Source organism: Homo sapiens, chromosome 1 (genome assembly GCF_000001405.40).
Source record: "Homo sapiens chromosome 1, GRCh38.p14 Primary Assembly".
Lineage (NCBI taxonomy): Eukaryota > Metazoa > Chordata > Mammalia > Primates > Hominidae > Homo > Homo sapiens.
The window spans coordinates 237810730-237836107 of NC_000001.11; the positions used below are offsets into that span (position 1 = coordinate 237810730).

Sequence of the window (25378 nt, forward strand, 5' to 3'; positions counted from 1 at the left end):
ACGATAAATCCATAACAAGTATGCATCTGTTTGAAAATGAGAGAAATTCATGTATACAGATATGGAGAGATATATAAATTACATTTTAATTAAATTACATTTAATTTAAAAAAACAAGATCTTGGATCAGTAATGATAGGATCCTAATTGTGTGAAATTATATATACACAATAATTCATATTTTTGATATGCTGGAATATGCATAACATTTTTCTGGAGGGATTTATTCATAGGACACTGTGAACAAGGATTCCTACAGGGGTAGGACCATAGATCACAGGGGAAAGAAACTTGTTTGCTTTTCATTTTATAGACTTTACTCCTGTCTGAATTATTGATACTATTTCTTTTTACCATAGGTATTTTTTTATTTTTAAAAGCCTAAGACAGTTTTTTCCCCACCATGTTATAGAAGATAATCTGCCTTCAGTTATTCCCACAATTAGTATAACTACATGCAGTGACTGTTCCCTGGCAGGGAGGAGAGAACAGAACATACAGGTGGCTGACCTGAGGGAATTAAAGGACAGAGGTTGAGGGAAGCTCTGCTGAAACTCGATGTTACATTTTGATCCACTGCCTGTTCTTGAGCCATTTATTTATAGCCCAAATCTCTTATTTGTGTAAAGAAGTTTTTCTGTATTTAAAACTTTATCATAAATGATCATTAATATAGAATTGCCCATCCTTTCTCTCCTTTAAACAAGTATTCTTTTATTTACTAATTTAGAGAGCTTCAGACAAGATTGTCATTCTTTAGCTTTTCAATATTAAGCATTTTGTTCTCTTCCCAACTTTCTTTTTAATAAAAAAAATCTTAAGAATAAATAACTCTCAAATGAATTGCAGGTTAGTTAAAAATTGGGGATACATAATAGCTTGCTGACATAAAAATATTCACTTTTCTTAGGTCAAGATTAAATTTTCGAAGGCTTGGAACTTCAAAAAGGGATGCTTTTGATGGAGAATGCAGGGGGAAAAAGCTTTCAACTCATCCTTCCACACATAGTTGACAGCAGAGCAAATCATATTGTTCATGTGAAAATCATCTGTAATTTTCAACATTTCCTGTCACGATTGCCGTTCTGAGGTGTTTCACATGTGACTTTGTGGTTTCCACGTGCTAGTGACCTACTTGGAGGACACGGAGTATCAGAGCTGAAAGGACTCTGATGTTCATGGTTGTTCATCCATAAACTTAATTCCTCAACTGGAAGAAAATGCCATCCCAGTTACAAATCCACAGTCTTGTAGATTTTTTTTATTTGTCAAGTGCTTATATAGCACTTGGCTATAAATGCTATTGTCCCAGGCATTGTCTCAAGAGCTTTACAAATATTAACTCAGTAGTCTCCTACCAACTTTCTGCTGCAGGTTGGCACTGCTATCATTCCCATTTTACAGATGAGGAAACTGAGCTACCAAGAGTTTGAGTAACTTGTCATAAGTCACACAGTTAGGAAGAGGTGACACTCTTCAACCAGTACTCTAAGTTACACTACCTCACAGATAGTAACTTCATTCATGCTTCTGTCATTAATTTTAGTGCTATTTTTATACCAGGCACTCGTTAAGGATAAGGCTTGAGTAAGTACAGTCCCTGCCTTCATGGAATTTGCATGGTAAGCACCTTTCTAGAAATTCTGCTAAGCTCGTTCTTTTTTCTGGGATCCTCCAAGAAAAGAGTGCCCCAGAAATTCCAGAAGTTTTGGAAAACCTTGTGGATCAGTATTCCTATCGCATACAGAACATTTAATATACTATACAAAAATAGTGGATTCAACATCACTGCTCAAATATTGCAATTGAGAAGTTGCTTTAGGTGGCTGGCTACTAGACAGGGAAATAGAAATAACTTATTAATGTCACATGATACCACAGGGTGGAAGATATTGATACGGACATAGATCAAGTGCCTTAATACTTGAGATCCATTTTAGTCATCATAAGTTGTCATGACTGAGATGTAATACTTACTTACATTTGCTAGTCTTCTTCTCCGATTAATTGCTGGACAAATAATTCATGCACCTTGCCTGGAGCCTCCTCCCTGACTGCCTTTCTATCACCCCCTGATTTGGCCCACCTGCCCACTTCTTAAAACCATCTCCTATCCTTCCTTTTGCTGCTTTTCTCGCACCACAAAGCAGAGAAAAATGTATAAGTTTTTTTTTTTTTTTTAACTTACAGCAACTGTAAGAAAACTGGATTCAATGCAATAAGACTGACCCGTTACTAGTGACGACTCTCCATCAGAGTCACTAACATGCAACACTTTACCCCCTCCTCCCACGCCTATTCATTCATTCCAGGCCTAGGGCTGAAGATGTGTTAAGGATCCTTCATCTCCTCTTCCATGCGCTGCCTTTAATATCAGCTGTGCTCAGAGCCTTTCTACCCTGTGACCCTGAAGGCAGGAGGGGAGTGGGAGGCCAGGAAAGGCTACAAGGCACAAGGGAGGTGCAGAAGGTAGCAGTAGCAGGTACATTGCCTGCAGTGACTTCCAGGAAATTCAGTTCTATTCTAGGACAAACACCCGACAAAATTTATAAATCTCAATATCTACCAGCCTCAGGGCAGAAAGTTTACTTAGGTTATGTATTCCTAAAGGCTATGATGCTCAGAGAATTGCTAAAAATTAATAGAAAAATAGGAATGATTTCAGATAATGGCATTCAGTGACCTGTATCAGGTAGTGAGAACAATATGTGACTTTAGATCTTCCTTTTGTACCACAGGGAGACCCCAGCAACATCCTGGTCTCTCCTTTTATTATGCAGTCGTCATAGTTGACCCCATTCAAGTTGTAATCATAGGATCCTTAAACGACTACATTTTGAACCTCACTCTCAGTATGCATTTCCATTACTTTTGTTAATTTTGCTTAGGAAGACAACTGCCTTCACCTGGTTGATTTTGCCTAATTTCATGGGGGCATGAATACAGAAGACAGAGAAACTTGGTTCCGGTGAGGAAATACGGCCTGTTGATGTTCTGAACTATGGACTTAGCTAGAGCCTAGATTTTTTTCAGTTTGAGGGATTTCTGTCCTCATGAGTAAGACTATTTATGACCAGCTCTGTTGTAGGTTTTTATATCTCTACACATAACAATAAACTTACTATCTTGTCTTTGACTGGGTTGAGTATATGTCTTAGATGTTTCTTCCCTGCAAGAGAAAACTCAGTTCCAAGACACAAGCCACTTTTTCATCCCTAGCTCATTCACAGTGACGGGCTGCTGCCAATCAGTCAAACCAGACAGGAGTCTGTGTAGCATTACACACGCTCATATCCCAGTAATTGTCCCTAAAAACTCCCACATGGGAATGGAGGCCACATTACCTAGATTGACATTCCAATTGTAGCGTCCAAACACTTACTTTTAATTTGCTTCTTACCAGTACTTGTGCAGGGGCTTCTTTAAAAAGCCAACAAAATTTAAAATATAACTGATCACTTAGAGTAGTGCGCTTTCAAAGTACAGGCTTATTAAAACCAGCCTGCCAGCAAGAAAGCAGCACAGAATAGGAAACAAAGATTTAATTTCTTTAATTTAGTTCTCAAAAGATGATCCTTTCTTTATGACAGTCTCTTGAACGTGTCCTTTCACAGGGCGATGTCTATATTCTCTCTTGAGATAAATTTTCCTCACTCATGTCACATTTTATTCACTTCATCCTGAGTTTCTTTGTTGTTTCTGGTTGTTTCTGTGGCTCTGAGAGAACATCTTAGGTTTTGCAAATAGGCAACTCGCCCTCCTGTTTTTCATAATTTACAGTAGGGGGCGCCATAGCTGCAGTGTTATAGACAAGTCACAGGGGGATTTTTTTTTTTTTCCAGATTAGGATGTTTTGAGCCTGAGAATCTAATTAAACCAGCAGTATCCTGATAGAATTTGAACCTCCTCTACAAGAATGTAGGAGGAGAAAGAGAAAAATGATGTAAAGTCCAAGGTAGAAAGATGATTGTGGCTAGATAGCCAGGGAGTCTGACTTGACATATAGGACGATGTTCATCTCAGATGGAGAGGGACCCCCTGAACCAGAGGCTGCAGGGGAAGGTGTCAAGACTTATGCACTTTGGGAAAAATAGCTTTCCAGGTGATTAAGATGAAAAGTACACTCCTAGGGAAATAAACTTGCTTAGGTAATTGTTCTAAATTACCTCACTTAATTGTTGTCACTTACTTTACCCTACTTTCCCAACAAATAATCTGCTCCTTTTTTCTTTTTTCTTTTTTTTTTTTTTTTTTTGCCAAGATGAAGGCCTGATAAGGATCTTCACCAGCAGCTGACCCTCAGTGTTCCCTAAAGCCAATAGAAACTATGATCAACCTCAGAATGAATCTGTTTAGGAGACGGATGAGGGAGGGAAGCCACAGACTATAACATCTTGGAAATCAACAACTTCCTCTTCTAAATTTTTGTAGGACCAGGCACCTTCCTTCCTCATTACTCAGATTGTCTGAAAGAAGCACATCTTTTTGTCTCACAGCATTACTTCTTTCCACCTCCAGCTCTCATTATCAGGTTTAGGCTGATTCTATGAAAAGAAAGGTGGATAAAAGGATTTTCAGTTGCAGCAGGATAATTTGGTAGCTGAAAGCCTGACAGCCATGTATTGGAAGTTATTCACCACATACCTCCTATTCCAGCACCACAGCCAACTACATACAGTTGTCTAAGGCTGACCAGGTAGTAAAGGATGAAGCTGGGAAAACCAGTATCAACATCCCACAGGTGAACTGTACATTTTATTCTTTTTAAATTTGGTAATTTATTAAGCCTAAATAATCAGATGCACAAGACTGTCTTTTCAGCATGACTGTTAAGTCCACTACCGATCTCTGCTGGAATCCCTTCATCACAATGCATAAAGCTGATGTAAAATGAAGGAGAGCAGTGAGGAAGGGTATTTCCAGGAAAGGTTGTTAGATGGCTGACAAGAGATCTGCAAAGAAGGAGACATTTTCTTTGGTAATTTAGCCTCATTCCTTGGTCCTGTCTTCAACATTACATGTCTAGAAACTACAAGTGAATCATTCTTTTGGGGACAGACTCACATTAACCAGTATTACATAAGCCTGATGTACGAGTCAGAATACCAACATGCTACTCATTAAAAGTTAATGCAACAAGTTGGCACATTCTCTTCCCTAGACAAACACCTCTATGGGAAGCCAAATTTTAACCCAAGACCCAAAGACTCCCAAGTGCAAGACCAAGAGTCTTGGTCAGCAGGAATCACCAAGAGGAACTGATGGATGATCAGTTCATCCATCAGTTGCTGGGCAATCTTAGCCACTAGTGCTGTCACACGCAGTTCCTCAAAGAAGCAGGGATGGAGAGCTAGGACATTCCAAGACCTGGACTGGGAACTGCACAATCCACTGTTGGCTCACTGTGGGGATTGGAATGGGGACCCAAGAGACCAGAACTTGACATGGAGGAGTACCAGTCCAGAACCAGGTATACTATCCAAACTGAGTCCCCAGAGAAATCCCCGGAGGAGAGTTGCAAACACAAAGCTACTTGTGAAGTCAGAGAAACGTGGGCAATGGGAAAGATGGTCTAACTAAAGAGGAAAGAAGCTGTGTTAACCACTCTTTGTTGATTTCCTGTAGTCACAATTAAATACATATGAAGACACAGATTTGGAGAAAAGCAATCCAGGCTAGGCACGGTGACTCAACGCCAGTAATCCCAGCAGTTTGGGAGGCCGAGGCGGGCGGATCACCTGAGGTCAGGAGTTGTTCGAGACCAGCCTGGCCAACATGGTGAAACTCCATCTCTACCAAAAATACAAAAATTAGCTGGGCATGGTGGCGGACACCTGTAATCTCAGCTACTTGGGAGGCTGAGGCAGGAGAATCGCTTGAACCCAGGAGGCGGAGGTTGCAGTCAGTAGAGAATGCACCATTGTACTCTAGCCTGGGAGACGGAGCGAGACTCTATGTAGAAAGAAAAAAAAAAAAAGGAAAAAAGCAATCCAGTTCTTAATAAAAGTAAGAAATGTGTGGTAAAACAAATTCAAACAGTATGCCTGAGTATATGGTGAAAATAGTTTCCCCTTCTCACAGATTCACTGTTAGCAGTTTCAAGCACCAAGTTTTGAAAAACTACAGCAGTAGCTTCAGGATATTTTTTTAAGTGATGGATGGTCTGTAAGATTTTACTTCCAGAGATTGACTCAGTAGGTAGTACCAGGAACCCAGAATGTTGCCACGTCCAGGAGACTCTGATATGAGGTTAGGCTTAGACCCTATCAGCCTAATCTGGCTCTAAGGATCTCCTGACCTTTCTGCAAAAGAGACCCCTAACCTGGGCTCCAGATCAGATCTTGGGTGGGCACTGGCTGAGCTGGCCTTATAATGCTCTTTATTATATGCCAGGCTGAGTCTACAACCATACGACCCTGAATGTGCCCAATCTCATCCTTGTATGCCAGGCTGATAAAACGTTTCCAAATGACACATTTAATTCTGTTCCCTAAATTCCAGCCATCTAACCCAGGAGACTTTTTCTCCTCTGCATCTAACAGATCCATCAGCTGTTGAACTCATAGTTGAACTATGAGCATTTTGATATCACCTTGTTGACTGCTCTTTGCCTACACATTGTGCTTTTTAAAGTGTCCTGAGAATGTGAGATCTGTGGGTTGAGGCAGTGAAGGCTCCTCATTCATCCCACAAATGATTTGAGGACTTACCATGTGCTGGACGTTATTTTAGGCACTGGCAACAGAGTAATAACCAAAGCATTTCTTGTTGGAATGCAGTCAGTCCTACTGGAATGAGATAGACACCAAAAAATAAGCAAGCTGGATACCCAAGTGTGGAATTCAAGAAAAAGATCCAGGCTGGAAATAGAAATGAGTATAATTGGCACAGAGATGATACTTAAAGCCATGAAACTGGGAAAGGTCCCCCAAGGGAGTGTCCTAAAAGTAAAAAGCTCAAAGAACCCAGTCCTGGGGCATTTGTTCATGAAGCTACAGGGAGATGAGGAAGATTTGGCAAAGGAGACTGGAAAGCAATGGCCAGAAATGAAGCGAAGCAGAGGAGTGTGGTGTTTCTGTGTTAAGGCTTTTGTCCCCATCATTCTGGTCAGCAGCAACTAACTAGGTTTTGAATTGATGGGTGACACATCCATTAAGTCAGGGTATCTGGAACAGTCTAAGAAAATCTCAGAGGAAGGATTATTAATTTAGGCCCTACAGGATGAGTAGAAATGGAGTAAGAATGGAAAAGCCTATTGCAAGAGAAGGAGAATGTACGAGCAAAGATCTGGAATCAGGAATAGTTCACTTGGAGGAGGTATGGGGAGAGCGGAGAGAGCAGAGAGGGAAGTTTTTGGGAAAGCTGAGTGTGGCTAAATTCAAGGCCTGAAAAAGGAGTTGGAACTTAGCTTAAATGAGGATAAAATATTGGATGCTCCAAGCCAGTGACTCAATCCAGCATGACTTCATTTGCCACCCCCTGCCCCAGGACATTTGGTATCTGGAGATATCTGTTATTGTCACTATGAGGTAGGGTGCTATTGGTATCTAAGGGGTAGAGATCAAGGGATCTTTTTAAAATAGCATACAGTGCACAGGATAGCCCCTGCCCAAGGAATTATCCAGCCAAAAATGTCACTGGTGCTGAAGCCAAGAACACTGCCCTAAAATGCACTTTAGTGAACCCCTCATTTTTTAGCAGTAGGCACAGGCAGCTGTACTTGTTGGTGGCTTTGACGTTTTAGGGTTTAAACAATAAGATGCTATTTCCTCCCCAGGTCTCCTCTCTTTTGTATTCTAGATATTAAAGTAGAAAATAATTTCAGCATCATATTTCATATATACTATGTGAGGGAAGGGTGTTAGTATGTTTTCTTCTAGCTTAATTTCTAAGATTCCATCTTATTACCTGACCTTTCCAATGTCTGTTATGTCCAAAATAACCAAACAATACAATATAGTTGTATGTCCCTGAATGTGTTCGTAATATGATTACCTCATTAGCACAGATGGTTCAGAGCCAAGATACTAGATACAAGATGCTAGAAAATTTTCCATTTTCTCCAAAGTGAGAGAGAAAGTGCTAGGCGGAGTATGCAGTATACACTTTTGTTTAAAAGACAGCAACATGCAAAAGCCAAATGTTTGCTTCACAACTAGAAATACTGAAACAAAAAGAGGCAATATAGAATGCAAAAATTCTCATTTCCAGAGTGAGGATTAGGAACTACAGAGATAACTCGGGTTTGTCGAGAAAAAAAAATGGGTAATGTCCCTCCAAGAAGTGATACCATGTCTTTTTTCCAGTGCTATATGTTCCACATGTATGTTGGAGTTCGTGCTGGAGGAGGGATCGGGGATGAAATCGAAGACCCAGCAGGAGATGAATATGAGATCTATCGAATCATCTTTGACATCACTTTCTTCTTCTTTGTTATTGTCATTCTCTTGGCCATAATACAAGGTAAGTATCCTCCTCACTGAAGCTGATGAACATCTAGAATTTGAGCCACATGTTGCTGAAGTTAATATTCAAGGTAGGGTAATGACGTCAAGTGTTTCCTGGCAAAGCCAAATCAAACTTTTCCTTCCAGTATTTCTTCATCATGCAATCTACCGGGGGAAATATAAAGCGGTATGGAACCCTGGTATGAAGGGAAGATACAGTGTTATTTTGTCTTCTTTCAAATAACATAATGGAAAAGGCACTTTCCTTGGTTTGATTCTCACCTCTGGGTTTCAGACTCATGAACCCCAGCTTTACAATCTTGGGTGGGTGAGCCATTTAACCCTTTAAACTTCTAAGCCAGCTGGGTGCGGTGGCTCATGCCTGTAATCCAAGCACTTTGGGAGGCTGAAGGGGGATGGATCACTTGAGGTCAGGAGCTCGAGACCAGCCTGACCAACATGGTAAACCCCATCTCTACTAAAAATACAAAACTAGCCAGGCGTGGTGGCACACAGCTGTAATCCCAGCTACCTGGGAGGCTGAGGCAGGAGAATTGCTTGAACCCGGGAGGTGGAGGTTGCAGTGAGCCAAGATCACGCCACTGCACTCCAGCCTGGGCAACAAGAGCGAAACTCCATTTCAAAACACACACTCAAACCCAACAACAACAACAACAACAAAAACTTCTAAGCCCTGTGGTTGTTGAGATTTTTAAAAATGACATACAGGCCAGGCGCAGGGGCTCACGCCTGTAATCCCAGCACTTTGAGAGACTGAGGTGGGTGGATCACTTGAGGTCTGGAGTTCAAGACCAGCCTGGCCAATGTGGTGAAACCTTGTCTCTACTAAAAATACAAAAATTAGCCTGGTGTGGTGGTGTGAACCTATAATCCCAGCTACTCAGGAGACTGAGGCAGAAGAATCACTTGAACCCAGGAGGAGGAGGTTGCAGTGAGCAGAGATTGCACCATTGCACTCTAGCCTGGGTGACAAGAGCAAAACTCCATCTCAAAAAAAAAAAAAAAAAAAAGGTGGGGGAGGGAGGGTAGCTGGCAAGATGGCCAAATAGGAACAGCTCCAGTCTGCAGCTCCCAGTGAGATTGACGCAGAAGGTGGGTGATTTCTGCATTTCCAACTGAGGTACCCAGTTCATCTCACTGGGACTGGTTGGACAGTGGGTGCAGCCCACAGAGGGTGAGCAGAAGCAGGGTGGCGTGTCATCTCACCCAGGAAGCACAAGGGGTTGGGGGATTTCCCTCCCCTAGCCAAGGGAAACTGTGAGAGACTGTACCAGGAGGAATTGTGCACTCCAGCCCAGATACCATGCTTTTCCCATGGTCTTCGCAACCAGCAGACCGGGACATTCCCTCCACTGCCTATGCCACCAGGGCCCTGGGTTTCAAGCACAAAACTGGGTGGCTGTTTGGGAAGGCAGCAAGCTAGCTGCACAAGTTTTTTTCATATACCAGTGGCACCTGGGATGCCAGCGAGACAGAACCATTCACTCGCCTGGAAAGGGGGCTGAAACCAGGGAGCCAAGTGGTCTGGCTTGGCGGGTCCCACCCCCACGGAGCCCAGCACGCGAAGATCCACTGGCTTGAAATTCTCGCTGCCAGCACAGCGGTCTGAGGTTGACCTGGGATGCTCCAGCTTGGTGGAGGGAGGGCATCTGCCATTGCTGAGGCATGAGTAGGCAGTTTTACCCTCACAATGTAAACAAAGCCACTGGGAAGTTCGAACTGGGTGGAGCCCACTGCAGCTCAGCAAGGCCACTGCAGCCAGACTGCCTCTCTAGATTCCTCCTCTCTGGGCAGGGCATCTCTGGAAAAAAAAGGCAGCAATCCTAGTTATTTACTTATAGATAAAACCCTCATCTCCTTGGGAGAGAGCACCTGGGGAAAGGGGTGGCTGTGGGTTCAGCTTCAGTAGACTTAAACGTCCCTGCCTGACAGCTATGAGGAGAGCAGCAGATCTCCCAGCACAGTGTTCGAGCTCTAATAAGGGAAAGACTGCCTCCTGAAGTGGGTCCCTGACCCCCATGTATCCTGACTGGGAGATACCTCCCAGTAGGGGCCGACAGACACCTTATACAGGAGAGCCCTGGCTGATATTTGGTGGGTGCCCCTCTGGGAGGAAGCTTCCAGAGGAAGGAACAGGCAGCAATCTTTGCTGTTCTGCAACCTTCACTGGTGATACCCAGGCAAACAGGGTCTGGAGTGGACCTCCAGCAAACTCCAGCAGACCTGCAGCAGAGGGGTCTATTAGAAGGAAAGCTAACAAACAGAAAGGAATAGTATCAACATCAACAAAAAGGACGTCCACTCAGAGACTCCATCCGAAGGTCACCAATATCAAAGACTAAAGGTAGATAAATCCATGAAGATGGGGAGAAACCAGCACAAAAAGACTGAAAATTCCAAAAACTGGAACACCTCCTCTCCTCCAAAGTATCACAACTCCTCGCCAGCAAGGGAACAAAACTGGACGGAAAATGAGTTTGACAAATTGACAGAAGTAAGCTTCAGAAGGTGGGTAATAACAAACTCCTCTGAGCTAAAGGAGCATGTTCTAACCCATTGCAAGGAAGCTAAGAACTTTGAAAAAAAGTTAGATGAATTGCTAACTAGAATAACCAGATTAGAGGAGAACATAAATGACCTGATGGAGCTGAAAAACACAGCACAAGAACTTTGTGAAGCATATATAAGTAGCAATAGCCGAATCAATCAAGCAGAAGAAAGGATATCAGAGATTGAAGGTGACCTCAATGAAATAAGGTGAGAAGACAAGATTAGAGAAAAAAGAGTGAAAAGAAATGAACAAAGCCTCCAGGAAATATGGGACTATGTGAAAAGACCAAATATACGTTTGATTGGTGTACCTGAAAGTGACGGGAGAATGGAACCAAGTTGGAAAACACTCTTCAGGATATCATCCAGGAGAACTTCCCCAACCTAGCAAGGCAGACCAACATTCAAATTCAGGGAATCCAGAGAACACCACAAAGATACTCCTAGAGAAGAGCAACCCCAAGACACATAATCGTCAGATTCACCAAGGTTGAAATGAAGGAAAAAATGTTAATTAAGGGCAGCCAGAGAGAAAGGTCGGGTTACCGACAAAGGGAAGCACATCAGACTAACAGCAGATCTCGCTGTAGAAACTCTACAAGCCAGAAGAGAGTGGGGGCAAATATTCAACATTCTTAAAGGAAAGAATATTCAACTCAGAATTTCACATCCAGCCAAACTAAGCTTCAAAAGCGAAGGAGTAATAAAATCCTTTACAGACAAGCAAATGCTGAGAGATTTTATCACCACCAGGCCTGTCTTACAAGAGCTCCTGAAGGAAGCATTAAACATGAAAAGGAACAACCGGTACCAGCCACTGCAAAAACATACCAGATTGTAAAGACCATTGACACTATGAAGAAACTGCATCAACTAATGGGCAGAATAACCAGCTGGCATCATAATGACAGGATCAAATTCACACATAATAATATTAACCTTAAATGTAAACAGGCTAAATGCCCAAATTAAAAGACACAGACTGGCAAATTGGATAAAGAGTCAAGACCCATTAATGTGCTGTATGCAGGAGACCCATCTCATGTGCAAAGACACACATGGGCTTAAAATAAAGGGACTGAGGAATATTTACCAAGCAAATGGAAAACAAAACAAAACAAAAAAGCAGGGATTGCAATTCTAGTCTCTGATAGAACAGACTTTAAACCAACGAAGATCAAAAGAGACAAGGGCATTACATAATGGTAAAGGGATCAATGCAACAAGAAGAGCTAACTATCCTAAATATATATGCACCCAATACAGGAACACCCAGATGCATAAAGCAAGTTCTTAGAGACCTACAAAGAGACTTAGACTCCCCAAAATAATAGTGGAAGACTTTAACACCACACTGTCAATATTAGACAGATCAATGAGAGAAAATTAACAAGGATATCCAGGACTTGAACTCAGCTCTGGACCAAGCAGACCTAACAGACATCTACAGAACTCTCCACCCCAAATCAACAGAATATACATTCTTCTCAGCACCAATTCACACTTATTCTAAAATTGACCACATAATTGGAAGTAAAATGCTCCTCAGCAACTGCAAAAGAATGGAAATCATAACAGAGTCTCTCAGACCACAGTGCAATCAAATTAGAACTCAGGATTAAGAACCTCACTTAAAACTGCACAACTACATGGAAACTGAACAACCTGCTCCTGAATGACTATTGGGTAAGTAACAAAATTAAGGCAGAAATAAAGATGTTCTTTGAAACCGATGAGAACAAAGACACAACGTACCAGAATCTCTGGGACACATTTAAAGTAGTGTGTAGAGGGAAACTTATAGCACTAAATGCCCAAAAGAGAAAGCAGGAAAGATCTAAAATTGACACCCTAACATCACAATTTAAAAAACTAAAGAAGCAAGAGCAAACAAATTCAAAAGCTAGCAGAAGACAAGAAATAACTAAGATCAGTGCAGAACTGAATGAGATAGAGAAACGAAAAACCCTTCAAAAAAATCAGTGAATCCAGGAGCTGGTGTTTTGAAAAGATCAACAAAATAGACAGACTGCTAGCCAGACTAATAAAGAAGAAAAGAGAAGAATCAAATAGATGCAATAAAAAATTATAAAGGGGATATCACCACCGATCCCACAGATATACAAACTACCATCAGAGAATACTGTAGACACCTTTACACAAATAAACTAGAAAATCTAGAAGAAATGGATAAACTCCTGGACACATACACCCTCCCAAGACTAAACCAGGAAGAAGTTGAATCCCTGAATAGATCAATAATAAGTTCTGAAATTGAGGCAGTAATTAATAGCCTACCAACCAAAAAAGTCCAGGACCAGACAGATTCACAGCCGAATTCTACCAGAGGTACAAAGAGGAGCTGGTACCATTCCTTTGAAACTATTCCCAACAATAGAAAAAGAGGGAATTCTCCCTAACTCATATTATGAGGCCAGAATCATCCTGATACCAAAACCCGGCAGAGACACAACAAAAAAAGAAAATTTCAGGCCAATATCCCTGATGAACATCGATGCGAAAATCCTCAATAAATTACTGGCAAACCAAATCCAGCAGCACCTCGAAAAGCTTATCCACCATGATCAAGTAGGCTTCATCCCTGGGATGCAAGGCTGGTTCAACATACGCAAATCAATAAATGTAATCCATCACATAAACAGAACCAATGACAAAAACCACATGATTATCTCAATACATGCAGAAAAGGCCTTCGACAAAATTCAACAGCCCTTCATGCTAAAAACTCTCAATAAACCTAGGTATTGATGGAAGGTATCTGAAAATAATAAGAGCTATATATGACAAACCCACAGCCAATATCATACTGAATGGCCAAAAACTGGAAGCATTCCCTTTGAAAACTGGCACAAGACAAGAATGCCCTCTCTCACCACTCCTATTCAACATGGTGTTGGAAGTCCTGGCCAGGGCAATCAGGCAAAACAAAGAAATAAAGGGTATTCAATTAGGAAGAAAGGAAGTCGAATTGTCTGCAGATGACATGATTGTATATTTAGAAAACCCCATCATCTCAGCCCCAAATTTCCTTATACTGATAAGCAACTTCAGCAAAGTCTCAGGATACAAAATCAATGTGCAAAAATCACAAGCATTCCTATACACCAATAATAGACAAACAGCCAAATTGTGAGTGAACACCCATTCACAATTGCTATAAAGAGAATACCTAGGAATACAACTTTCAAGGGATGTGAAGGACCTCTTCAAGGAGAACTACAAACTACCACTTGAGGAAATAAGAGAGAACACAAACAAATGGAAAAACATTCCATGCTCATGGATAGGAAGAATCAATATTGTGAAAATGGCCATACTGCCCAAAGTAATTTATAGATTCAATGCTATCCCCATCAAGCTACCATTGACTTTCTTCACAGAATTGGAAAAAACTACTTTAAATTTCATGTGGAACCAAAAAAGAGCCCGCATAGCCCAGACAATCCTAAGCAGAAAGAACAAAGCTGGAGGCATCACACTACCTGACTTCAGACTATACTACAAGGCTACAGTAACAAAAAGAGTATGGTATTGGTATGAAAACAGATATATAGACCAATGGAACAAAACAGAGGCCTCAGAAATAACACCACACATCTACAACTATCTGATCTTTGACAAACCTGACAAAAAGAAGCACTGGGGAAAAGATTCCCTATTTAATAAATTGTGTTGAGAAAACTGGCTAGCCATATGCAGAAAGCTGAAACTGGATCCCTTCATTACACCTTATACAAAAATTGACTCAAGATCGATTAAAGACTTAAACATAAGACCTAAAACCATGAAAACTCCAGAAAAAAACCTAGGCAAATACCATTCAGGACATAGGCATGGGCAAAGACTTCATGACTAAAACACCAAAAGCAATGGCAACAAAAGCCAAAACTGACAAATGGGATCTAATTAAACTAAAGAGCTTCTGCCTAGCAAAAGAAACTATCATCAGAGTGAACAGGCAACCTACAGAATGGGAGAAAATTTTTTGCTGTCTATCCATCTGATATACAGCTAATATCCAGAATCTACAAAGAACTTAAACAACTTCATAAGAATAAAACAAACAACCCCATCAAAAAGTGGGTGAAGGATATGAACAGACACTTCTCAAAAGACGACATTTATGCAGCCAACAAACATATGAAAAATAGGTCATCACTGGTCATTGAAGAAATGCAAATCAAAACCACAGTGAGATACCATCTCATGCCAATTAGAATGGCGATCATTAAAAAGTCAGGAAAGAACAGATGCTGGAGAGGATATGGAGAAATAGGAACACTTTTACAGTGTTTGTGGGAGTGTAAATTAGTTCAACCATTGTAAAAGACACTGTGGTGATCCCTCAAGGATCTAGAACTAGAAATACCATTTGACCCAGCAATCTTATTACTGGGGATATATCCAAAGAATTATAAATCATTCTACTATAAAGACACATGCACACGTATGTTTATTGGGGCACTGTTCACAATAGCAAAGACTTGGAACCAACCCAAATGCCCATCAATGATAGACTAGATTTTAAAAAGTGCCACGTATGTACCATGGAATACTATGCAGCCATAAAAAAAGGATGATTTCATGTCCTTTGCAGGGACGTGGATGAAGCTGGAAACCATCATTCTCAGCAAACTAACACAAGAACAGAAAACCAAACGCCACATGTTCTCACTCATAAGTGGGAGTTAAACAATGGTAACACATTGGGGGGCATCACACACCAGAGCCTGTTGAGGGGTTGGGATAGCATTAGGAAAAATACCTAATGTAGATGACAAGTTGATGGGTACAGCAAAAACCACCATAGCACGTGTATACCTGTGTAACAAACCTGCACGTTCTGCACGTGTACCCCAGAACTTAAAGTATAATAAAAAAAGGACATACATTCAAGTACCCAGTCTAATACCTGATGCATAGTCAGTGCTTTATAAATAATTATAAAGCTATTAATAGTATCATTGTTGAATACCTACTATCTGCCCAGCACATGTATTAACTAATTTTACCATTTCACCAACCTTATGAGAATGGTGCTCTTATTTTATGCATGAAGTAACTGAGCCACAATAAGTCTAAGGAACTTGGCCAAAGTGCACAGCTAAACAGGGCTGGAATCCATCTATACCCAGGCAATCTGCATCCAGACCCCTTCAACCACGGTGCTGTATTGACCCACTAGCTCTTCCTTTTACTTCCGGGCAACTTGGAGTGTGGTGTTTTTCTCTCTCAGAAAAGTCATGTTATCTTTTCCGCTTAACACATGTATCCTGGCTTGAATTAAATGTCTGTAAATGTGACAATCTCTTTTAAGTTCCACAGACATCAAATGACACTATTTTTTAGTCAAATACCATGGACAAGCTTAAGGGACTCATAATTCATTCATTGTGCTCTTATTGAGTGTAAAAATAACGTGTTTTCTAAGAGGGCAAAGTTATAACTTCGAAGAAAGTGTGAAGCCAGCAGGTCTCAGGAGGGAAAAGGAGCTTAAAACAGCTCAACACAGTGTTTCTGATTGTCACAGTCAATGAAATTATGGAAGCTTACTTATAAGGGACTTGTGAAAAAAGTGATTTGGGGCCTGGCACCATGGCTCATGCCTGTAATCCTACCACTTTGGGAAGCTGAGGCGAGAGGATCGCTTGAGCCCAGGAGTTTGAGACCAGCCTGGTCAACAAGACGAAACCCTGTCTGTACAAACAGAAATTATCAGGGTGTGGTGGTGTGCGCCTGTAATCCCAGCTACTTGGGACGCTGAGGCAGGAGGATCGCTTGAGCCCAGGAGGTTGAGGCTGCAGTGAGCTGTGATTGCACCACCGCACTCCAGCCTGGGTGACAGAGCAAGACTGTCTCAAAAAAAAAAAAAAAAAAAAAAATGACTTGACTGGGCATGGTGGCTCACGCCTGTAATCCCAGCACTTTGGGAGGCCGAGGCAGGCGGATCACAAGGCCAGGAGATCGAGACCATCCTGGCTAACACGGTGAAACCCTGTCTCTCCTAAAAATACAAAAATTAGCCAGGTGTGGCAGTGTGTGCCTGTAGTCCCAGCTGCTGGGGAGGCTGAAGCAGGAGAATGGCATGAACCCGGGAGGCGGAGCTTGCAGTGAGCCGAGATTGTGCCACTGCACTCCAGCCTGGGTGACAGAATGAGACTCCGTCTCAAAAAAAAAAAAAAAAAAAAAAAAAAAAAAGACTTGAGGCAGATTTCTTCGTTTAAGTGGTGATGTTTCATTTCTACATTAGTACTTGAAAAATCTGATTAGTGGAGTTTTCTGTACTTATAAATCTCAGCTGCTCTTTTTCGGCATGAAGTATGTAATAACATCTGTATATGCCAAGTTAACAAAAGGTTTTTCCTGCTGTCACTTCATTTTAAAACACTCTTTTCAGTGAGTGTATGTCCCAGTAACTGCACATACTTCTGTCCCCAAAGACAGAACACCGCCTCCTTTCTCCTAGGAGTATCGGATATGTAGTCACGTTTACCATGTTCTGAGCATTTTGCAAGGTAGTTGTACATCTCCCCTTTCCCTGGGGGGATTAGCCAAGGAACTGAATTATTCATTGCTTGATAAAGATTAAATTGTGTTTTTATTTAACACCAGGTCTAATTATTGATGCTTTTGGAGAACTAAGAGACCAACAGGAACAAGTCAAAGAAGACATGGAGGTAAGCTTCTCCATTCATGACTCAGCTTCTTTGTTGTCCTGGGCCCTCGTTTTCCTCACTACCTTTATCAATAGAATCATGAATGTGGGAAGGAGGAGGGGGAAGGGCACAACTTGTGGTTTCACTGGCGTGTTTTCCATTCAAGCAATACATATAGTTGAGCTGCGTGGTCGGCTGAAATTGTGGTGGACGCCACATGCATGCAAACAGCGATAGGACACCATCCTTTCCCTCCAGAAGTGGAGAGACTATTCATTCGAAACCAAAGATTCAATGACAAGTAAATAGATGATTACAGAGCAGTGTGGTGAGTCCTTTATGGGAGTAAAGCCCTGGAGTGGTAGGGTCTCTAGGGCTGGTATCTGATTCACTCCTGGATGGTCAGGGAATTTCCTAGAAGAAGGGATGTCTGAGCTGAGGCCTGAAGACTGTGGAAGTCTGTGGGTTTGATAAGGAGAGAGGAGGACAGTTTGGGCAACCTCCCAACCCCTTCTCCCACACCATGGACATCTCCAGGGGTACCATTCACAGTGGGACCTTTGAGCCCATCACCACCTGAAATTATATACCAAGACTGATTTTAGGGAAGTTGATGTGCAGGTTTTTTTCTTAGCAGCCTCAGTGCTACCAGATGCAGATTAAATTCTGATGATGAGGCTGGAGAGGAATACCAGTGAATGAAGAATATAATCACTCATTTGAGAAATTTACAGTTTAATATGTGGGCTGTGGGAAGCAAGAAAAGGGCTTTAAGCAGAGCAGCCAGATGATCAGATTTGCATTTTAAAAAGATAACTATGGTTTAAAATGTGAGGCATGAAGTAGAAACTGGCAAGAACAGGGACAGGGAAGTGGGCTGTCAGCATTTTCCAGGTGGGAGATTCTGAAGCTTTTGCTAGAGGTGGCACATGGGAGTTGGGCAAGTACTGCCTGAATCCATCTAGTTTCTGCATCCTCAGCGAGGGACTTGGTGACTGACCAAATGGAGAAGATGGAGCAAGCAAGGGGATATCCAGGCTTCAGGCATTAGCCACCAGATGGATGGTGGCATAGTTAGCTGACCTAGGGAACCCAGAGGAAGAACAGGTTCATCGGTAAAGCTGATGAGTGTGATTTGAGCCACTTCAATTTAAGAGACATCATTGGAGTGGTATGAAGACCTGATCGATTGTTCTCCCCAGTTGCTCAATGTGACCTATCAGCTGTCAGCAGTTGTTGATCAGTAAGGCAGGAAGAATTTTATACACTATTATAATCATCTTGATTGTAGTTCCTAAAATACAGGGTCTCATAAACATGCTTCAGATGGCATAAAACAGCTTACAACTGGCAGGGAAGGATGAGCACCAGAGTCACATGGGACAATTATTGAATACATTGCTTCTCCTTGGGTTTTGTGGACCAGGCCTGTCTGCAAGGGGCAGACCTAAGCAGGTGCCCCTCTACAGGGTGCTTAGGAGAGGCGTGGTCCAGAGAAGGTGGAACCAAGAGGACCAGGAATCTGGTCCCTAGTGCCGAAAGTTGTTCTCCATTCACATCCACTGGCTAATTCTGTACCTAGCACAGCACCTGGAAGACCCTTGCTAAACTGTAGATGGGATGTCTCATAGCTTGGTATTTGATTTGGCCTTTTCTAAAGGAAAGTAATCTGTACCTATTCCCCCTTGGTCGTCCGACTTTGTTTGGGTGGGTACTAAGTTTGTAGTTTCAGTTGAAGACACAGTTAATCCTGCTTAGATAACTTTAGTCAATGTCATGAACAAGAGTTGATCACTAAGCCTGGACATTTTCACCTAGGCTAGAGAAAGGAAGAGACGTTGCTTTTCAGCCATCATCATCATCATCTTGTTCCCTGTCTGCGTCTGCTACTTCTTGCTGCTGGTACCTGTGTCATTTAAGCCAACACCAAGATATAGTTACAGCGACAGTTCCATTTATATTCGTGGGCTTGGCACAGCCTCCATGTGATGATCTTTGACGTGTATTGAGTGAACCAAATAATAGCTGCCCCTACATGGCGAGTTGTGTTTTCCTTTTGTTTTGCTTTCTGAACTCTGACGTTAATATTTCCCTTTGTTTTCTAGACCAAATGCTTCATCTGTGGGATAGGCAATGATTACTTCGACACAGTGCCACATGGCTTTGAAACCCACACTTTACAGGAGCACAACTTGGCTAATTACTTGTGAGTGTGCCCGTTTCAGAATCTTCCACCTCTCCAGTAGACGCCACTGGTCCCTGCCCATCTCAGAATAGAGAGGAAGTTTTTGTTTATTGTTTAAAAAATAATTGCTGCAGATACTTTAAAAGAAAGTCCAACAGCTAATGGCTCTCTTTTCCTCTGGAGTAGGTTGACTTAAGAGGTTAAGTTGCAGCTCTTCATGTAAGTGATGCTTTCTAGAACTTGAAATGAAGAGGTGGACAGGGAGGAGCAGGGCCTCTGTGGGAGTCTTGGTCATGTTTCTCATTTTAGATAGGAATTCTTAGGCTGCTTCCTAGGGAGATGCGAGTCTCCGTTTTTCTTCTTACAGATCTTAAGAGGACTTTCAGATCTCGTCAGGCACTGTTGGATACCAACTTAAAAGCTGCATTTAAAAAAATATTAATACATAGAAATCTTTCCATTACTCGAGATTAGCCAAAAGTATAGTTTGGTAAAATGCTATTCTTACTCATTTTCCGACCCAATTTTAGTATCAAACAGAAGAGATGCCGAGTAGCATTATAGGGAAAAAAAATTGGCTTAACTATACTCAGTGGAACTTGATCAGTAAATTACAACTTCTCATTAAGCTAGTCTTCAGTTCTAATTCATCAGTGTTGATTTGATTCTGACCAGTGTGTATATTCCTAACTTGAAGCCTCTAGGGTCAAATAGCAACAGATCAGAAAAGTCAGGTCCACAGCCTTTCCTCTTTCTGGTACACTAATTTTTCCAAAAATTTGCATGTGGCGTTTTCTCTGTGCTGGCCATAATTGATTGCAACCATACAATTTATCTAAATATGCCCTGTTTATCCTAATATTTCCATACCGTTCATTTCTGATCAGTTTCTCTGTATCTGTAGGTTTTTTCTGATGTATCTTATAAACAAAGATGAAACAGAACACACAGGACAGGTAGGTAAATTATTACATGTCATCTTCTGAAAGAAATGATAGAGAAGCTCTAAATATCAGAACAAAATGTGTGCATTAAACAGTGAGGCACGGAATTACTTTCAGATATTAGTTGTGGTATCTTGATGTAAAGTTCCTGTTATGTTGAATGAGTATGGAAAAGATTGCCTTTGTTAAAGTAGAATTCTGTACTAAGTTTATGTAACACAATAAGCTTTTACTAACTGAAAATGCTGGATTTGAGTTTTGAATTCCATTATTTTGAAAAATTGAGTTCTTAATTATTGCATAATGTCTTTGTTTAATCAGATAGATGATTTCCAATGAACTTCAAAGTATTATGTACAATGCATGTTAAATGCCTAAGGTGTTTAAGCTATTTGAAATTCCTCTTCCACTGTGCAGATTGTTAGTAGTTTGAATTTGAAGGATACGATATTTTAAGAGAACCCTCAGAAGCATAAATGTATATATATACACACACACATATATTTTTTGAGACAAGGTCTTGCTGTTTTGCCAAGTTCAAGTGGCATGATCAGGACCTACTACAGCCTTGACTTCCTGGGCTCAATAAATCCTCCTGTTTCAGCCCCACAAGTACCTGAAACTACAGGCATGCACCACCACACCTGGCTTTTTTTTGTGTTTTTTTTTTTTTAATTTTAGTACAGACAAGATCTCTTATGTTGCTCAGGCTGGTCTTGAATGCCTGAACTCAAGCGATCCTCCCACCTCAGCCTCCCAAAATGCTGGGATTATAGGCTTGAGCCAGTGTGCCCAGCCAACATATTTTTATCATTATAATGGTCAGGATGAAGATTATTATGAGACGTTAAGGTCTGGTATAGTTAGTTAGGAACCATCTAAATTAATGTGGACTTCTCTATTCCGTGCGATATAGGTAACAGAATTGAGTTTCTACCTTATGTTTTGTTAGCACACACTTTGGGGAAAATGTTAATACATTTCCTTGACTTTTGCAGGAATCTTATGTCTGGAAGATGTATCAAGAAAGGTGTTGGGAATTTTTCCCAGCAGGGGATTGCTTCCGGAAACAGTATGAAGACCAGCTAAATTAAACTCAGACCCAATCACCTCTAAAAACCAAAACCCTACCCCTCTCTCTCCCTCTCTCAATTTCTCTGCTCTCTTGGAAACATTTTGCTGATTTTGTGAATTGCCAGCGTTGTGTGTTTTCTGGGAGCATCGAAGCTCTGTTTCGGAAGAGCTGTTTCCTCCCCCCACCTTTTGTATTTACTTTGAGACTAAAGACTGAAGAATAATCTAAATTCATACTCAGACAAAAAAAGGAATTCTGGAAAGAAAACCATTCTGGACACTGTCATAACACACATAGATAGATTTTCTTCTGAGACTCCCGGAGTCTTCTCGAGCTACGAGACCTTCACAGAGACACGTGGCAGCCACACTCACCCAGCCTCTTTATTTCACCATCCTGGAAGGAAACTGTCTGTCTAATGGTCACAGAGCACTGTAGCACTTAACAGATTGCCATGGACACCAGTTGCGAAGGGAAATAGTGCCTTACTATATGTGGGTTGAGCTATGCAGAAGATACGTGCATGAAAAAACATCTTTATTTTCTTTATGTCGACCTTTCTTTTCTTAGATTGATTTTGTGAGGTTTTTTTTTTTTCCTTTAGTCTTTTCTTTAGTGGGGGAGGGTAAGAAAAGCAGTTTGCACTTAAAAAGAAAAAAAAAAAACGGGTGGTGTGTCTCAGGACAAAAGGAGGCTCTTCTCATTCAGCTAAATTCACATTTGCCCCCCCCCCCCGCCCCCGCCCCCATATGCTCCTGCTATTATTTTGGTAATGCTCTGATGCAACATTGCAACTTTATGAAATCTTTGTATGAAAACAAAAAGACTGCAAAAAATACACTTTCAAAAGAAACCATTCATTGCATGTTTATTATGCAAGTTTAAATGAACAAAGAAAACCTTCAGAAACAAGTTGATCAACGTGAGAGAAATTTCATGATAATTATTCATAGTAATAAAGTGTCGTGGGCTTAATTGTATATCTGGAGCCAGTGTCATCCACCAACAATGTGATACAATATGAACTTGACAGTAGTTTTGGGTTTTGCTCATTCTTTCAGCCACCTGTGATCAGTTTTGTTGATTAAGGACTTCTTGTCAGGCCATTTTTTAATATCAAAGCTGAAGCAATATCCATTCAGGGATTTCATCAGTTGCATCACAAAACACGGATGATAATATACATCACTCCATTTTTTCCATTTTGAGTCCTTTTAAATGTAATGCTAACCTTTACAATTAAAAAGTCAGATTCAGAATGGAAACAAGGTCATTTTGCAAACATTGGAGCTCTTTTATTACAAGTCTGCTTGTTAATTTTAGAACTGTAAAACCGCTCTGATTAAACTATTTAACTAACTTTCTCATCCTCTTCTTTCTCCATTTAAAACTTATAACTGGGACTCATAAAATCTTGAGCTTCTAACTTGAGGTGGATATAGGACAATCCTAAACACTGCACTGAGACCTTTAACGCTGTCAGATTTCCTGGTACCTCTAAGACTGTTGTGTATATAATTGTGGGGCCTCAGAGTCACCAGGCACCTGGCCCACCCCTGTCATTTCCCTGTTATATGGGTCAGCCAGACCTCTTGAAAACCTCCAATGACAGAAAAAAAAGATCGCTATCTCCCAGATTATTTAATTTTTATATAGCTCTCATTTTTGAAAGCTCTTCCTTGCTCAGGGCAAATTCATTTCCTATAATAATAGGAGTTCATTTTCTGTCTTAATATGAAAGAGAATCGGTACCCTAGCATGTGGTGTATTAAACATTCAAAACCCAATTGAACATTTGCTGTGTGCAAAGTGCTGCTGTGGGTACCGGTGACTTCTCCGTCATCTTACACCTCACCAGCACAACATCACGGTGCTAGTATCTAGATTTTGCCTTTTGTCTTCTGGTATCACTTTTATGTGGGGGAAGAATAAATTTGGCTGTACCATAGGAATTTTCAAGACTGTTCAGGGCGGTGATCTGATGCTCTGAAGACTCTGAATAAAATAAATGAGGTCAGCTCCACAAAACATCAAAGAGTGCACTGCCATTTGCCAGGAAACACTGCAGAGCAAGTATGTAGTGGAAAGGAATGAATATTTTTCCAGGACATAAAGTCCACTGATAGATTCAGATGTTCTAGTTATAATGCTCAAATCAGAGGTGACACAAAGTAACAGTACAGGTGGGAGGTGAGTAAATAAACACATAGCTGCCCCTAGATTTTGCAGGCTTTTAAATAGGCTTTCCTGACTGCCCAGCTCTAAAGTTCTGGGAGAAAGAGAGAGGCTGGGATTTGGGACACATACGTGTTGAAGAAAGAGTAAAGGAACAGCTGATTACTGGAGAAAGTCACACTTCCCAGCCTCCTCACTGGCCCACCATTAGAGGAAGACTCCTCTTCCTTTCCTTCTCAAGGCCTCAAAAGAGAAGAGGAAGCTTTTCTTTATCAGCATGAATTCCCCCAGGAAATGTCTCAGTGAATCTCAAACACAGTGTAGCTCTCCACTTCTCTAATTTAACTCAGGACTGCGTGACCCAAAGTCAAGAAATGGAATCCTTTTAGAAATACTAAATCAATACTCAAAGATTCACCCCAAAAAAAACATAATGAACACACACATATCCCTATTCTCAACTACAACACTTACAAACATCATTCTGCCCCTATTTCATCTGTTCCTCTCTTTTCCTTAGAAACATCTTTTGCATCTACGCCATAAAATAAGTTTATATTCACAATTTAAGTTGAAGATTTCCAAATGCCCCCGGTCATCACTGTCCACTGGTACTCCTCGGATGGTCATTTTTCGTGTGCAGGAGACAGTTTGTTCTCAGTCCCTCAAGAACTCATTTAAAAGTCATATTGTAATGAAAATACTTTGACTGTAAAAATTATATCTTGGGAAATTATACATGTATTCACTATCTTGCTTCACCAGGGAAATGTTCATATTTTTCTGAAGCTCCTGTTTTCTTGGGTGAATATACCAATTCGATACCTGTTGCTGTTAAGGTGTTTGGGTGGCTGTCAGTAGTGAGTGCCTCATTTACTCTGGGCACAGTGAAAGAGAACTTTTTGAAAATTACACTTACATGGAATTCAGGTAAACTTGACATGGAACAGGCTGGAACAGTTAGACATTCCCCAGATTATTTCATAAATCTCCATTGTGTTGTGAAGGGAATGACCTGTCTCCCTCCTGATAAGGTTTCTGCCCAGCACTCAAAAATGTCTGGATAGCGACTGGTTAAATGGCATCCAAATCTTGATACAAGTGCATGGGTGGAGCTAGGGCCTTTTAATAGCCATAAATATTAACAGCACACATCTCTCACAGAACAAAGTTCAGTATCCTTTCATCTAAAATGGTATAATTTAATTGTATGGCTAATATGAATCTAAAGCAGGTAATTAAATAAATCCTTAAAGTTTCATGTTCCCAAAATCACAGTTTCACCTACCAACCCTGCATGCCCA

At 41.1% G+C, this 25378-nt stretch overlaps 1 protein-coding gene across 16 annotated transcripts in view; it reads left to right on the plus strand.

Moving 5' to 3' along the window:
• Positions 1 to 23259, plus strand: part of RYR2 (ryanodine receptor 2) — a 791805-nt gene extending 768546 nt beyond the window's left edge. For all 16 annotated transcript variants that reach the window (XM_006711802.4, XM_006711804.4, XM_006711806.4 and 13 more), the window contains 5 exons: positions 8307 to 8463; positions 17652 to 17716; positions 19801 to 19901; positions 20785 to 20836; positions 21823 to 23259. In XM_006711802.4, the coding sequence (XP_006711865.1) occupies positions 8307 to 8463; positions 17652 to 17716; positions 19801 to 19901; positions 20785 to 20836; positions 21823 to 21918 (471 nt within the window). In that variant the 3' untranslated portion in view covers positions 21919 to 23259. The remainder of the gene's footprint in view (positions 1 to 8306; positions 8464 to 17651; positions 17717 to 19800; positions 19902 to 20784; positions 20837 to 21822) is intronic.